Below are 17,426 nucleotides of genomic sequence, written 5' to 3'. Positions count from 1 at the left end.
TGCTTCTTTACCTAGAAAAATTCTTCTCTGCATGCTTACCTTAAATCATACCTACATTTTTCCAAAACCTTCATTCCTCATCACATATGTCTGGCACATAATCAATATATAATAAATCATAATTATAAGCTTCCAGTGGGCATCTAGCACACAGTAAGCACTGAATAAAGTAGTAAAATAATGAAAATGACAATGATAATAAGCTCCTGTATGCCTTTTTAGTTGTGTTCTTTAGCATTAGAAAAATGGTTAGTATCTAAAATACATTTGATAGTTATTTGTTAAGTGGACAAGTGAAAACATAAATAGAAATGTTTTCTTTGTAAATTCCATTGAAAAAGCACATAAATGGAGACAGCTCTATTATGAGCACCTTAAAGATCAAAACCACATCTATTCCATCTTTGTCTCCTGTAACTTATAAAACCTAACTTACATAAGCTCTTTGACAAATAGATGGCTAAATTAAAGGTGTCCTCATAAAGTTTGGATTATATAATGTATTAGGTGTCCACAACCAGGTAGCATACTAGCATTTTTGTTAGTGTGAAACATTTTTCTGCTCTTATTATAATCTGCTGAGCCTAGAGTTGGGCAATTTGTATATTTATTATGACAATCTTTTGGCAAATGGTAGCAGAGCACCTTGTTCTAACAAAATTACTGTTATCATGACAATTAGCGCCAGCAGGTAGAAGAACACATCTTGTTCCAACAAAGTAAATATATCTCTTTCCAACTTCAAATGAGGAGGAATGAAGTCAATAATAGTGAGACCTTATTGGGACAAGCATATGTAACATGACTTGTGCTTCAGTGTTCTTTTGTGATCAAAAATTCCTTACTTTTACTTTTTTTATCTATGGTAGGACCACGCAGAGCAGGGGTCCTCAACTCCCAGGCCACAGACTCATACCAGTCCATGGACTATTATGAACCACACCACACAGGAGGAGGTGAGCAGCAGGCAAGCCAGGGAAGCTTTACCTGTACTTACAGCCACACACCATGGCTCATATTACCGCCTGAACTCTGCCTCCAGGCAGATCAGTGATAGCATTAGATACTCATTGGAGCATGAAACCTGTTGTGAACTGCCCATCTGAAGGATCTAGGTTGTGTGCTTCACATGAGAATCTAATGCCTGATGATCTGTCACTGTCTCCCTTTGCCCCCACAAGGGACCATCTAGTTGCAGGGAAACAAGCTCAGAGCTTCCACTGATTCCACATTATGGTAAGTTGTACAATTATTTCATTATATATTACAATGTAATAATAATATAAAGTAGCACAATAAGTATAATGTGACTGAATAATCCTGAAACCATCCCCACCTTCCCCCAGCCCATGGAAAGATTGTCTTCCACAAAACTGGTCCCTGGTGCCAAAAAGGTTGGGGACAACTAACCTAAAGTAATTCACTAACACAAGTCTTACCTGGATTGCTGTTTTCAGAAGAGATTTTTAACATCTGTTTTTCTTTGTAGTCAGAAAGTAACTGGCAAATTCTATGTGTAAAAATGTAATAAACCAAATTACTATTTTAATACTGATATAAAAAATACTTACCAAATGTAAAACTCTTAAGCATATTTCAAACAATATCAGAATATCAGAACCCAACAGTATTATCCCGTCCACTTATAAGTACATTCTACAAACTTCTCTTTAAGCTTCTAATTAAAGAAGAAAAAAATGTAAGCTGAAATACTCATAAATCAAGGGCACTGTGACCCAGTAAATTAGCTCACATTAACCTGATATAATAGAAAGTGTCCCAACTCTGCATAAGTCCTAGCTCCATAATGAATAACTATTTGTTCTTGGACAACTTGCTTCTCTTAGGCTCAATGTCTTCTTCAACAAAGTGAGGACTTTGCTGCCTTATTTCACTAGGTTGTTACAAAGATTTAACAAGATAACATTTTTTAAAAGCTGAGAGAAATAGTAAAGCAATGGAATAATTTGTTCCTAAACTTTATGACCGAAATTATCTTGGAATCCCAAATAAAACCCAATGCGTATTTTGTTCATAGGTTCTAATATGCAAACGTTGTAGTTTTCAGAAGATATTATTAAGTCCTAATTTTGCTTCTTAGTTGTCCTACTCCTTATGGCTTATAATTCAGTGCATCTCAACTATGTGATAGTTTGTAACTAAATTTATTCCTAAATATCTCATTAAAGTAGATAATGTGATTGTCCACTATTACGGAGTTGATCAATCACGCCAAGGGCAGAAAAACCAATGGATGTTAAGACCTGGTTTGGACCAACGATCCTTCTCTACAGACTCAAACTCTCAGCCAGCAGATGTTTGTTAGGATAATGCTTTATATTGATGTTCAGTTACAGCTGACATGGGAGACCAAAAGTCTACTTTTATTTTTTTTAGTTTCCACGGAGAAGTAGCAAGCTGACATTCTGTGATTTTCGACATACATACTAACAATATATTTTGCACCAAACACGTTATTCAGCTCAAAGTCATCTCATAGACCATCTTATATGACTCTTTTTGCCGCGCAAATCACAATTTCAATATTTGGGTGGCACCCATTTTGCTTTGATTCACACTATTTCCTTAGAGCTAGTCAGCAAATAGTCAAATGACCTTCCAGTGACTGCACAAAATATGGAATGCTTCAAAGATCTGTGCTGCCTCCTTATGCAGAAGCCACGCTAACTTTCCCCGTATTGTTCCAATTTTAGGATATGTGCCGCCGAAGCAAGCACAAAGCCCTACTTTTACACATGATTAGTGATGCGTCATGGACAAGGCTTGGCTCTGTTGAGTCCAACTAACCTACTTGAGATTCTGAGATTTCTCTTCAATGGCTTCCTGTGAGCTAGAGTTTGAAAATATTTTAAAATCTTGAGCTAGAGATGGAAGTAGCTTCAACGATTTTCATTATCATGTAAATCAGATCACTCAAGGGGCCAACCACAGCTGGGAGCCACTGCTCAGGGCAAGGTTCATATGGGACTTTCTACTGCCCAAGGTTCTATACAGGATATAAAGGTGCCTCACAGTACAGATCTGGTAGCAAAAAGGAAACAAACACTGATCTCTTTCTGCCACATTATTTGAACCCCTCTCACCCTTTAGAACAAGCCCAACTAATATCTGCCAGAGAAAAGACCAACAACAGCCTCAAAGGATCTCTTACCATGAAGGTCTCAGCTAATTCCTAGCTAAGATGTGGGTTCCACATTAGGTTCTGAATATGTGGGGAAGGGTCAATTTGCTCACTTTGTGTGCGGATAAAGTCAGGATGCCCAGCGGCCAGAGCAGGGGGCTGGTCCTCTGGGAACAATGGCTGAGCATATAAGCATAGGTATGGGAACTAAAAAACATGAAAGTCACTGTATGAATCACCATGAAGACTTGAGGGATCTGAATCTACTGATTCATCTTAAGACAGCAGGACCAGTTTGAGTGGCAACAATGCAGCAACAGAATCAATGGAAACAACAGAATGATTGCAATGTCCTTTTTTTTCCTCCTCCTTCTGACTTGATAAAAGGGACTGTCTTCCTTGGATTTAGTAAACCCCTTCGGTTCTTGAAAAATTCAAGGAGTATGTAGGACATAGTCCCCAGAAAACAGTACAAGACTTTCTGCTAAACTGGACATTTCAAGACCCAAATAACTAATCAGAAAAATTAAAGATGTGACACTCTTTTTTATCCCTGCATAGGTGTTACACTTGGATCAAATGAACAATGCTGGGATCTCTAAGGATAAAGATCTTAAAAGTCCTGAGATAAAGAATCCTGCACCCATTGGCACTTCTAACTTGTCTTGCTTTTTGTCTGATTTCTGGCTGATGCAAGGGACTAACTCACTGACACGCGAAAACTACCTGAACCAAACTATGACATCTCACCTGATATGTAAGATGCAACTGTTATAATTATTTTAAACCTCAATTTAGCATTAACTAGCCTTTTAATGTAAACACTTACACATGATGATGACTAGAAACAGCATACTCTCTGGCCGTCTGTCCAGATCTTGAGAAGATACATCAATATTTTGCTCAAGTAGAGGGCTGACTATATTTGCTGATCCACAACATACAGCAAGTATGAGAGCAGTTCTAAAATGACAGAGATAGGAACTGTAATAAAGTTATTTTTAAAGCTAATCTGATATACTTTACCAATGTAAGACCTTGCCTGTCCGTGCAGAATCAAACATTTACATGCAATAAAAGACATAAGCATCTTGAGGGCTCAAGTGTTCATCTTTCTAAAATACCACAAAGGTTAAAAGACAGGGACAAAAAAAAGCCTCTCATCTCAGTGGGGTATTGCATAGCAGAAGCTACTAATTTAACGTCCTTTGATGGGCAAGAAACAATGTTAGGGCCACTTATCTGAAGTGGACAAAGATTTAAGTGAAGATTTTGTCACAGCTTCCCTAGACTGATATGCTGTAATAGAAAATCAGCTAGGGGGTAAGAGAAATAAGAGCTCTCTGCATGCTCAAAGCAGTATTAATAATGGTAAGAATAGTAGTCGTAGGAGTTTCAGTTAATGGTGCCAATAACCATGTGCTAGGCACTGAATTAAATGCCACATGTATCTTTCTTACTTATGCACAGCCAACTTTGAAGGATATATTCTCCTACTTTTCATATATGACAACATATTTGGTGGTAAATAACGTCCCCAAGGTCACACACCTAGCAAGTAAGAAAGTTAGGAATTAACCCAGTCTTGTGTGAATCCAAAGCCTAGCTCTTTTCTCTTTATCACCCACCTACGGCTTGCCTTCATTAAAGGAAAAGTGTATCCACTTAAAACTATCTTCACTCCCTCTCTCCATACCAATTAAAAATAAAAATAAAAAATACACTAGAAATAAAAAAGGAAAAAAGCTGTTGAACCCACAGTATGTGGGAACAGCAATTAATTGTCATGTAGAGATAAGCTAACATTAATATTCTTCAAAGAAAGCAACTTAAAGCAGAGTCATTGAAAAGACAAAAGGATTTTCAACCCCTATTTATGTTTAATACAGCATATTTAGTGGAAAAGCATGTAAGACACGGAGGTTAAAAACTATTAGAAAGGGTTAAGAAGTTCAATACTGAGTCATAAAGTAAACTAAAAGTTAAAGTTCAAACTTCATTAAATTAATATGAAATCCCTTTAGCTAACATAAGATCATGTAACCAAAAATGTCATATAACAAATAACATCAGTCAATATAATGAGAAGATGAATCCTATTAAAACTGATCTTTATGTTGCCCAGTCCAAGTAATTGTTTTTCTACCTAACTGATTTGTGTTGATACTGATCACTATATCCCAGTAAGTATACATTAATCTTATTAATTTAATATTTATGACTTGAGTGACTGCTATCCATCTAGAACACACAGATTAAAAGAAAGAACTATACCTTCCATATCTATCCAGTGCATTTAAATTCGCTTTTTTCTTGATTAAAAATTTCACCACTTGCTGTTTTTGCTCATGTATACCAAGTAGCAGTGGTGTGAGGCCATGCTGTAAAACAATATAAAGCAAAAACCTATGTAATTCAAAAAAGTACATATTCCTCAACTGAAGTGGAAACTTTATATAAGATCTTATGGACTTACACGCATAGGAAGTAAATAAAATGTAGTCGCTTCCTTCTCACTCTTCTGTGCTTTCCCACACGCTGCTCCTTCCCTTGGAAACACCCCTTCTCTGCCTCACCACAGTAACTCTAATCATCTCAAAAACTCACTTTAAACATTTACTGCTTCCAAGGCTCTTTGCTTCTAACTCAGCATTTGGCATGGTGTTATTGGATGATAATATTTTTCCCATCTAAACAAAGAGCTCCTTGAGGGCAGGGGCTGTATCTTTTGTCTCTATATCCTCAACCCTAAGACAAATTGTGTATAAAGCAAGAATCTGCATGTAAAGTATTTCTTTAGTTTCATGTTTTACCAAAAGTTCAACCTCCAACATGCAACAAAAATTGCTATTAAAACTCATACTGCCCATTTGAAAAAATTTTCCAACATTTATTTATTTAAAATCTATTTGTATTTAATTTTCCCAGATTGTTAACTAAATCATCAGTTCATAGGACTACTGAAACTAAATTAACAGAATTCCTATCTGTATTCTTAATAACTCCATGGTTTTTAGTGTTTAAAACTGCCATTCTGATTATGCCAAAGCTCTACATACTTAAGAGACACACTGGATAGTCCATAATACAGCGTCAATTGACAAAAAATGGTTTAGAATTTGCTACAATTCTAATTGAGAAAACTCTGCTCTTAACGACTTACTGACCTAAGCACTTGAATGACTGAACAAAGAGACATAAAATCCTGAGAGGGCCATCCTCTACTTATTGAAAGACTACTCACAGCAAATTTCTAAAGACCTTCTGAATGGCAGTGAATAACTGATGGTAGGAAGGAAAAGATATTATTCTGTAAGCTGATACATACTACCAATAATATTCATTTTAATGTCTCAACCACAGAGATAAAAGTCAGACTAGGCCAGGAATGGTGGCTCACACCTGTAATCCTAGCATTTGGGGAGGCTGAGGTGGGTGAATCGCTTGAGCCCAGGAGTTCAAGACCAGCCTGAGAAACATGGCAAAACCTCATCTCCACTTAAAAAAAAAAAAAAAAAAAACTGAGATTGGAGGAACATCTGAGCTTGGGGAGGTCGAGGCTGCAGTGAGCTGTGATCACACCACTGCACTCCAGCCTGGGAAACAGAGTGAGACCCCATCTCGGGGGAAAAAAAAAAAAAAAGTCAGATTAATGTTATTGGAAAGGAAAGATTTAAAGAAATCAGCACATATCCAACCCCAACTCTTCTAGAGATACCTTAAGTTTCTGAGACATAAGAATTTACATATTACATTTATGTATTGAGTGGTTCTTAAGCAGGAGTGTATCCAGATTTTGAGAAAATTGTTGTTGCTGTTGTTGTTAGAGACAGGGTCTCATTATGTTGACCAGGCTAGACTCGAATTCCTGAGCTCAAGCAATCCTCCCACCTCAGCCTCCCTAGCAGCTGGGACTACAGCCATGCACCACCATGCCTGGCTTCAAGGAAACATTTTCAAATATACATATCCAGGATTTATTAGACTTACTGTATCAAAATATTCAGAAAAAGCCTAGACTTGTTGATTATTTAAACATTTTCCTCAGGTTACTGGGATGCACAATTCTAGCTGAAAGCTAGTGCAACAGACAATTATTTCAGTCTCATTTCTCACCCACATGACCAATTCCCTTTCTCATTTGAAGATTTGGCCAAAAAGAGTAAGGAGTAGGAGAGAGACCCATTTGCTGAAAACACCACATGATTTTCCCCAGTAAGAGAAGAACAGGGTCTAGTCAACTCAAAATCCAACTTGATTTTGTTACTTATTTATCTTCTACCTTCCCATCCAGACACACTAGATTTGAAAGCAGAGCTGAGACTCTAATTGGCCATTTCTACCAGAATAGGATACTAAGTCAGTTAATTACTTGATATTCCCTCTGCTCAAGGGTTTCCTCTTACATTACCACCTGTTCACTGCCTATCTGGTTCCTCAGAGGCCTCCTAAAATTGATCTCTATTCAGTTTCCAACCCACTAACTCCCTCTCCCAAACTGAAAAGTGTCGTTCTTTAAAATTGAAGAGAACCTTGTCTCACCATACAAAGGAAACAAATCAATCAACAACAACAACAACACACACACACACAACTTCTTCGTGGTCTTTTCCCTCTATTACTTAATTTCCAAATTGGCCTTGATATTTCTGATTGCTCTCTTTTTCCCTTTCCACTTCTGCCTCATGAGCAATCAGAAATATCTTAAACCTTGCCACTGACAGGCGCATCACCTCGTATCTATTACTGTTTTTTAGGAACTTGCCAAAGGAGCAGGATCTCTATTCACTGAAACATGTTTAACTTTTCTTGGAGTTTTCATGTAAAACCTATTTCAGGGCAAATTTTGCCATCTTACATTCATTAGGGGAAAAAAATCCTAGGAGGGAAAAATTGAAAAATAGTAAGTATTACCTTTTACAAATTCAGTGTTTTCAACAAAAGTATTTACCAGAAGTGCATTTAAAAAAAAAAAACTGTACCCTCTAATGCTTCTTTGAAAATAACAATATTTAAAATAAAGTCTTAGATAATTAGGTCATTTCAAAATATTTTCATTCAAGTTATGCTTGAGCTTCCAAATACGGAAGACTGGCCCTTACACAGGTCAATGTTAAAATGAATGCATTTCAGTATTTTGAAGATAAAATTGGTAGATCTATACCTTGTTTTTTGATTCGATATCAGCACCGTATAAGAGCAGTGCTTTGGCCATTAATTTATCTTCATTGTAGACAGCATAGTGTAGAGTGGTATTTCCATACTCATCTGGAATATTTGGATCAGTGCCATGTTCCAGCAACATTAACGCACATTCATCTTCCTGGCATTGTACGGCCTGTCAGTATTAGACCAAAAACAAATTACAAATCTTAGGAATTCAAAATAACATTCCACAGCTTTCACCAACTAGTTATATTTAAAGCAGAAAACTCATTTTTATGCTATGTATTGAAATCAAACCCACCTCACGCTGATAGAGTTGGCTACTGCATACCTTTGTCAGAGCTGTCCTCTTTTTGTTGTCAAGGACATTAAGTTGACATCGTCTGTCCAGCACGAGTTTTACTACTTCTGAATTCCCATTGGCAGACGCCAGATGTAGAGCAGTCCTGTGAGAGTGACAAGACTTTTTAGGAAATTGTAGTGCACTAGCTACAGCCACATTAATGATTCATGTACTTGCAAACACTGAATAGCCTGCTATTACTCTGCCTTCAAAACAAACATTTAACTTTCCCATGAAAAAAGCACACTATTTTCTCTCATTGCTCGCTGTATTAATGAAAGAGCAGCCTATATGAATACAAAGAGCATAGCCCTTGGATGACATTCAACTTGGGCTGGAATCCTACTTGAAGCTCTGTCACTTCCTAGCTGTTGCTTAGCCTTTTGGGGTCTCAGTTTCCTCATCAATAAAATAGGAATGAGAATAGTAGCTTTCTCACAGGAAACCACCGTAATGCTTAAATGAGACTCTGCACAAAAGATATAGAATAGTTCCTAACACAAATAACAGCTCAATAATTGTTAGATATTATAATTTTTACTGATACCACTAAAGACAACATTTGAATTGAGATGATACAATTATACCTACACTGAGGTGTGTTTTAAATATTACAGCTAACATTGTATTTTAGTGATTCTGAGATGATCATTGTCTCCATGTTGTCTCCACTGAAATACCACTTACAATTCATGATTTACTATAATTGGCGGCATTTAAATAATTCTCTTATTGAGACATAAAATAATGGGGCATCATACAATCCCTGGTGTCTTACATTAAGTAGAATATGTTATAACAGGTCTGGGGCGGTTCCAGTCAGATGACCAGCATTTAGATAAATTTTAGTTCTTAAAAGAACCATGGAATAAGAAAGCTGAGGCGAAAACAAAAATAAATTTCTAAAATAAACCAATTCTTACTTTGGTTTTCAATAAACTTTAAGCCAAAGAAAACTTGGAATTCAAATGAATAGCATGGGCTCATTTTTGTCAATACTTAGATTTATACAATATATCTACATCAGGTATTTCCAATCATTCATATTAGGATTTAAGACTGTTATAAATGTTCTCTTTTTAAAATGGATTTATGAAACTATTTGTGGAGCTTTTTTCAACTTTTACATTCAGGGGTACGTGTGCCGGATGTGCAGGTTTGTTACATAGGTAAACGTGCACCAAGGGGGTTGGTTGTACAGATTATTTCATTACCCAGGTGTTAAGCCCAGTACCCGTTCGTTCTATTTCCTGCTTCCTTCCCTCTTCCCACCCTCCACCCTCTGATAGGCCCCAGTGCGTGTTGCTTCCCTCTAGGTATCTGTGTGTTCTCATCATTTAGCTCCCACCTGTAATTGAGAACATGCAGTATTTGGTTTTCTCTTCCTATGTTAGTTTGCTAAGGATAATGGCTTTCAACACCATCCATGTCCCTGCAAAGCACATGCTCTCGTTCCTTCTTTTATGGCTGCATAGTATTCCATGCTGTTTATGTACCACATTTTAGTTCTTAAAACAACTAAAACAGTCTTTATCCAAGACTTGCAAATTTTCAAAAGGGCAGTTAAGGGGTGTCTTTTACTATTTTCTACCTTCAGAAATGCTTCTGTTTGAAAGGAGGGAGGAAAAGCTTCAACTGAGATTAAGTCCTAATGCACCAATTTTAAATCTCTCAGCTTGCTCAAGCCCAGCAGGTAAACATGAAGTTTTCAAAGATGGAAGGATCCTGAGAGACAGTAGAATATGCCTGCCACATAACAGGTGTCTGGCTTATGTCTGATGACTAAATGGATTGAAAGAATGGATAAACACAGCTTGGGAGTTCAGTATTTTTAAAGAAAACTCCTGTAGAGTAGGGCAATACATTTCCAATAGTAACAGTCATTTATATTTGCTATTTTAATTTTCATAAATATATAACTCAACTGAAATAATTCATACTTTTTACATGTTAATCTATATATAATGAAAAAATAATTATGTAATAAAATGTATATATAATAAAATCTACAGGAACAGGTAAACACGACCCCTCTACTTCTGAAGAGGGTAAAAGTTCACAGAAGATAGCCAACCACAGAAAGAAAAATAAATAATAGAATGTGATAAATTATTCGCATCTATGCAAGAAGCATATTCCTTCTCTTCCCAAGGATTATTTCATTACTAATGAACCTTAACTAAAACCTCAGATGTTCACTGCAGAAATCACAGATAAGAGAAAGGGAAAAACTTCACTTACAAATCCCCAGAAACAAGTTTGATTGTATTTTCTACAGGTTTTCAGCTAACACAAGCAGATTCTGTTCGTGTATATGTGTAACAAACTGACTTTTTTCTCACTTGTTATAGCAAAGTACATCTTTGCACGTCGACATATCTCTGTAACTACTGACACCCTCAATAGTTACATATTATTCCATCCTATGGATGCACTGAAATTTGTTCATGAAATCTTTATATGGGTTCTTCTAAATACACTGCTATTTTAATCAATACTAAGAAAAACAGACATCTATTTGGTAAAGATATTTCAGTATAATGGAATTGATGAGTAAAAAGCATAACATTTTTAAAATGTGGTTCTTACCACTAAAGTGTCTGTTTGAAGCGCTGTAGCAATTTAAACTTTAAACAACTATATAAGTACCACTGTTCTTCATCCTCACAAACTTTGTGGATAGAAAACAGTATTTCATGCCTTTTTGTTTTGTTTTGTTTTGAGATGGAGTCTCACTCTATCACCCAGGCTGGAATGTAGTGGCACGATCTCGGCTCACTGCAACCTCCACCTCCCTGGTTCAAGCAATTCTCTTGCTTCAGCCTCCTGAGTAGCTGGGATTACAGGTGTGTGCCACCATGCCCAGCTAATTTTTTGTATTTTTAGTAGAGATGGGATTTCACCACACTGGCCAGGCTGGTCTCAAACTCCTGACTTCATGATCCACTTGCCTCAGCCTCCTAAAGTGCTGGGATAACAGGCGTAAGCCACTGCACCCAGCCTTTCATTCCTCTTCTAACTTAAATAGAAAACAGTATTTCATTCCTCTTCTAACTTATATTCCTTCTTCCACCAGGAACGTTATCTTTTCCTATGTGCATAGGTCACTGGTAGATATGCAAAAAAGTACTTTGCCCAATTTTAAAATGAGCTTATTTTATTATAACTGCATATATAGGCCAGGCACAGTGGCTCACGCCTGTAACCCCAGCACTTTGGGAGACCAAGGTGGGTGGATCACGAGGACAGGAATTCAAGACCAGCCTGGCCAAGATGGTGAAACCACATCTCTACTAAAAATACAAAACAATTAGCCAGGCGTGGTGGCAGACACCTGTAATCCCAGCTATTCAGTAGGCTGAAGCAGAGAATTGCTTGAACCTAGGAGGCAGAGGCTGCAGTGAGCCAAGATCACACCACTGCACTCCAGCCTGGGCAACAGAATGAGACTCCATCAAAAAAAAAAAAGTATATATATATATATATCTGCATATATAAATAGGCATTTGTGTTTTCTTCTGGTATGTTTCTCTTTCTGTATATTTAAAATTTTTAATCTATACTCTTATTTCTGTGACATAAAAATCTAGCTAGTTTTCTCCAAAAATGAATTATGAACAATCCATCTTTTTTAAATAATACAAAACATCACCATTATCAAGTGCTAAATTCTTACATATATTTGGGTATTTCTAAATTTCCTATTCTGTTCTATTCATTGATGTCTTTTCAGCTGTTAGTAAACAATTTGTGGAAATAAATAACATGCACATTTTGATATCTGGAAAAGCAATCCTTTTTCCATTCTGTTACAAAAAATTAGTTTATCACAATAATAAAAGACAGCATGTGTAATTTAAAAACGCTAAAACTTTGCTATTTTTATTTGGCTTAGGTAAAAGTGCTAAATAAAAAAAGCTCACATCTTTTTGGGTTTTTTTGTTTTTTTTTTTTTGAGATGGAGTCTCACTCTGTCTCCCAGGCTGGAGTGCAGTGGCGCTATCTCAGCTCACTGCAAGCTCCATCTCCCAGGTTCATGCCATTCTCCTGCCTCAGCCTCCTGAGTAGCTGGGACTACAGGCACCTGCCACCGCACCCGGCTAATTGTTTTTATATTTTTTAGTAGAGATGGGGTTTCACCGTATTAGCCAGGATGGTCTCGATCTCCTGTCCTCGTGATCTGCCCGTCTAGGACTCCCAAAGTGCTGGGATTACAGGCATGAGCCACCGCGCCCGGCCAAAAAGCTCACATCTTAAGAAAATTCAATCTTCCTATTCAAGCACAGGAACCATCTTCCCATTTCAGTTTCCTTCTAAGGTTCCTCAGTAAAGAACATATTTACATAGTGTACATTGATATAAAATCCATACTGGATTTTATTTGAAGAATATTTAGCCCTGAAGTTGATGTGTTATGGGGCTTTGTTCTTAGTTCTCAATATACAGTTTTCTGTAAGGTATAGAACATTGTTTTACAATCTGTAGATTAAAAAAATCTGCTGCATCGATAATTTTGCAAGTTAAATCACTTTAAAACAGTCTATTAGTGTTCTACGAGGCAAATTATAACTTGATCGGAAATCAGCTAAAGTTTTGTTTTTGTGTTGCTGCTCATAAAGGGGCCTGTGCCCTAACCTCTCTGAGGTTTCCACATCCAGGGTGGTGTGAGGCCTGCGGAGGCGAGAAAGCCAGGTCCCCCTCCTCCCCCATCAGGACGGTATGTCCCCATCATCCCCCCAAGTCCCACCTCCTCCCAGCCCAGGCCTGGTTACCTCTTTTGCTTGTCCCTCTTGTTCACATCAGTGTCCCTGAGCATGACGATGAGATCCTTTCTGGGGACTTTACCCCACCAGGCAGCTCTGTGGAGCTTGTCCAGATCTTCTCCATGGACGTGGTACCTGGGATCCATGAAGGCGCTGTCATCGTAGTCTCCCCAAGCGCCCACGTTGCTCTTGCCGCTCCCCCTGCAGCAGGGGAAGCAGTGGCAGCACCACTTGCACCTCTTGCTCCCAAGCGTCTTCACAGAGGAGTCGTTGCGGTCTCCAGAAGTGCCCACGTTGCTCTTGCCGCTCCCCCTGCAGCAGGGAAAGCAGTGGCAGCACCACTTGCCCATCTTGCTCCTGAGACCAAATGGCTTCTTCACAGAAGAGGCAGCCGGCATTGAATCAACCTCAGCCACCATCTGCTTTTAACAGCCAGGAGAAACCAGTAGTAGCCAGCAGATCCCTTCTACCAACCAGTTTCACCAACTAGCAGGTAACTCCGGGTTTCCAATCTGTTTGAAGAGAAAAGTCAATCCCTGCCAACCCCAGCAGGGGATCCCAGCACAGCCCACCCCACCCCAGGAAAACCCACACCCACCCGGGGAAAGCCCACGCCCCCTGGGGGCGACCCCACGCCCACCCCAGGAAGGGCCAACCCCCCCGGAGAAAACACCCAGCCCACCCAAAGGAATGCCAAACCCAGCAGAGAAAAGGTCAAGTCCAGCAAAGGAACGCGAGAGAGGAAACGTCAATCCAAGGAGGAAACGTCAATCCAAGGAGGAAGCGTCAATCCAAGCGACCAACGCCAAGCCAAGCAAAGAATGCAAAGCCAAGCCAAGCCGCTACATGCCAGCCAAGCCGTTAACGCGCGTGCAGCATGCACGTGCAAGCCGTTACAGGGCAGCCAAGCCGTTACGCGCGTGCGGCGTGCGCCTGCAAGCCGTTACAGGCCAGTCTGACGGTTATGCGGGGGCGGCGTGCGCGTGCAAGCCGTTACAAGCCAGCCAAGCCGCTGCCGCGCGTGCGACGTGCGCGTGCGGTGTGCACATCTCAGGGGGCGTCAGTGTACGTGGCACAGACACTGGCCGATGCGTGCAACCCACGTGCTTAAGTCTTGGCGCCAGGAATGTCACTGACAGCCCTGTGTTCCCGGCAAACTTTGTGGGAGTCAGCTGAGCTTTCAGGCCATTGAGAAGCCGCTGGTGAAAAAAAAAAGCCTCTTGAAGGAGGACTGGGGCTAAGCAGCTGGAACTTGAGGATGCTGACAGCCTCCCCTGAAGAAAGCCCCCAGGACACTCCTGGCGGTGCTGTTGTGCATGGCAGCAGCTGCAGCTCGGAGCTCGGGCTGGCGGAGCTGGCTGCAAATGGCCTCAAAATCATGGAGCACAAGACGCCCATTAAGCCCAGCGCCTGCCTGAGGTGCCTTCGACACCTGCTCCTCTTTGCTCCGCACCCAGAACAGAACATGAGGCCATCAGCGAGGGGGCATTTGGGGCCACAGGATTGCAGCCAGCTCCTGCCCTGGTGCCCCCTGCCCAGTGTCCAAGCCAGGGCCAACAGCTGTGGGGCTTCTGGCCTGGGGGGCTCTGCTCCACTGGCATGCAATAGGGTCAAGGTGCAGACCGCTGTGTCCAGGCCGGCATGAGGGGGCTTGGAGGAGCACCTACCACTCTGATGGGGAGATGCAGAAAGGCAACCCCATGTGCAGATCCTGGGAACAGGACACTGAGCCTCCCTGGTGCTGGCCTCTGAGCTGGACCAGGGCAAGTAGCACCTCGACCCTCCTACCGGGACCCTCCTGCTGCAAAGCTTTATGCAGCCAGGCTCCAGGCTGCTTCACCCAAACCACAGGTGCTTTGGTGTGGGAGGAAAAATGGATTCTGAGCCTGGACACCAACCTACTCTTACCAAAAGAAGTAGAGGGGAAGCCAATCACAAGTGCAAAAAAAAAAAAGTACTATTTTGTAACTGAAGTCTTATGAAGGGTTAAGCTACCTTGCTTGATACTAAAAAGAGGAGCTTGATACTAAAGCTCCTCTTGCTTGATACTAAATTAAACTTTGAATGAAACAAAAAGAAGACACATACACTAAATTTCCTTGTCCCTCTGTGATCCCCTGAGCCAGGAAGCAAGGGGAAGCCTGGCCTCCTGGACTCTCTCCCCAGCTGGGGGCTGAATAGTTTCCTCCAGGGTCACAGGGAGCAGCTGGGCTCAGTGGGGCCAGGCTGCCCTTCCTTCCTACATGGGCGTTCTCAAACCTTCCATTGCCCCACACAGAGTGCCATGATCCGGGTTCAAATCCCAGCTCTGGCACTTGCCACCTGTGTTACCTGGCAAATGCCTTACCACCCAGGCACTTGCTGTCTGTGTCCTTCCTGACAGGAGGGATGGGAGCTGGTGGCCCTGGCATGAAGCGCTGTTAACAGTCAAACACAAGCAGGAGCAGGCAGACACCTGGGTGGGGGACTGCCCTGCTGGGGGTGCTCACCAAAGAGCACCTCCCCATCTGCCCACGTGGCCTTGCACGTCTCAACACTTATCAGGCACCTGACTACAGGAAATCCCTGAACAAAGCCCTGAGCTGCCCTGGGGAATGTGACCAGGGCGATGGACCAGGAAGGACAGTCTGGGGTGCTTGGCATGAGTGAGGATAGGCTGGGGAAATGCCAACCTCTTCCACCAGCTTTGCATCCCAGGGCACCCTCAGTGGACAGAGAACCCAGAGATGCCACAAGGCTTGAGCTGCATCCTAACCATCCTGAGTTCCAGCCCAGCCATGGCCCCGGCCCGGGGGTACTTTGGGTGCTAAGTTGGGATGACGAGGGGCCAGGTGACACTCCTGTGTTCCAGGATCCGGTCAAGAAGGTGGTACCCTGTCACTGCCTGGCTCCGTCTGGTCCCAGTGGAACAAGAAGGGCAGGAAGCCTCTAGCACCCACCCTCTGGGCCACCAACACCCAGGTCCACAGTGTGGCCACCTGAGTCAGCACCACCTGCCTCGGGGACCAGAGCATGAAGGCTCAGATACGAGGAGCATAGCGCAGCAGTGGATGCAGGTATGCAGGATGTGCTGTGCGGATCCAAGGAGCCCCTCTCTGGAGGCTTGGGCATAACCTCTCCATCTTATTGACACATAATATTTTACCTCTTTGTAAGGTACATACAAATACTTGTTACATGCATAAAATGCGTATTCTGGTTACTTTGAATATTTACACATAATAATATTACTTAGCCACCACAGCCTGCTGTCAAACATTACAGCCTATTTCTTCTAAATGTAGGTTTGTACCCAATAACCAACTTCTCTTCATTCTCCCTTCCACATACCCAGTCTTCCTGGCCTCTGGTACTGCCATTGTATTCTCTGTTTCCATGGGATCAAGTTTTTTTAGCTCTCACGTGAGTGAGAACCCGTAGTATTTGTCCTTCTGTCTCTGAAAATGTTTCTGAAAATGACACGATTTCCTTATTTGTTATGCCAAATAGTATTTTACTGTGTCTATTTAGCACATCTTATCCACTCATCTGTTGATGAATACTTGGATTGATCCTGTGTCTTTGCTATTGTGAATAATGCTGTGATAAACACGAGCATGCAAGTTCCCCTTTGTTACACTGAACTCTTTCCTTTGGATAAATACCCCCCCAGTGAGATTGCTGGACCATAGAGTAGTTCTATTTTTTCTTTTTTTCGAATTCTCTATACTGGTTTCCATCATGCTTGTACTGATTTGCATTCCTACTGACAGTGTAGCAGAGTTTCCTTTTCTCTTCATTCTCACCAGCATCTGTTATTTTTTGTCTTTTTAATAATACCCATACTAACTGAGGTGAGATAATATCCCACTGTGGTTTTGATTTGCATTTCCCTGATCAATGAAGTTGAGCAGTTTCTCATATACATCTTAGCCATTTGTATGTCTCTATTCCTGTCCTTTGCCTATTTTTAATGGCATTGATTTTTTAACTTTTGAGGAGTCTGAGTTCCTTCTATACTCTGCACATTAGT

The 17,426-nt window shown here is 40.8% G+C and overlaps 2 pseudogenes across 1 annotated transcript in view, besides 2 other annotated features; both read right to left on the bottom strand.

Annotated features, from left to right (window-relative positions):
* Positions 1-13,486, bottom strand: part of POTEKP (POTE ankyrin domain family member K, pseudogene) — a 34,388-nt pseudogene extending 20,902 nt beyond the window's left edge. The window contains exons 1-6 of the transcript NR_033885.3: positions 13,424-13,486; positions 8,640-8,754; positions 8,307-8,480; positions 5,417-5,523; positions 3,972-4,105; positions 1,440-1,510 (exon numbers count right to left, since the gene is read on the bottom strand). The product of NR_033885.3 is annotated as a POTE ankyrin domain family member K, pseudogene (transcript). The remainder of the gene's footprint in view (positions 1-1,439; positions 1,511-3,971; positions 4,106-5,416; positions 5,524-8,306; positions 8,481-8,639; positions 8,755-13,423) is intronic.
* RNU6-617P (RNA, U6 small nuclear 617, pseudogene) lies at positions 2,632-2,738 on the bottom strand (annotated as a pseudogene).
* Positions 13,122-13,332: a silencer, noted in NCBI's record as "fragment chr2:132349769-132349979 (GRCh37/hg19 assembly coordinates)". NCBI's record gives its function as "represses an EF-1alpha promoter that drives an FKBP-Casp9 reporter gene in an ReSE screen in K562 erythroleukemia cells {active_cell/tissue: K562}" and the evidence as "EXISTENCE:reporter gene assay evidence [ECO:0000049][PMID:32094911]".
* Positions 17,071-17,220: an enhancer, noted in NCBI's record as "active region_16536". NCBI's record gives its function as "activates an Ori minimal core promoter by ATAC-STARR-seq in GM12878 lymphoblastoid cells {active_cell/tissue: GM12878}" and the evidence as "EXISTENCE:reporter gene assay evidence [ECO:0000049][PMID:35858748]".

This window comes from Homo sapiens, chromosome 2 (assembly GCF_000001405.40).
Source record: "Homo sapiens chromosome 2, GRCh38.p14 Primary Assembly".
NCBI lineage: Eukaryota > Metazoa > Chordata > Mammalia > Primates > Hominidae > Homo > Homo sapiens.
The sequence above is the reverse complement of the archived record's forward strand: the minus strand, read 5'-3'. Positions and strand labels throughout refer to the sequence as shown.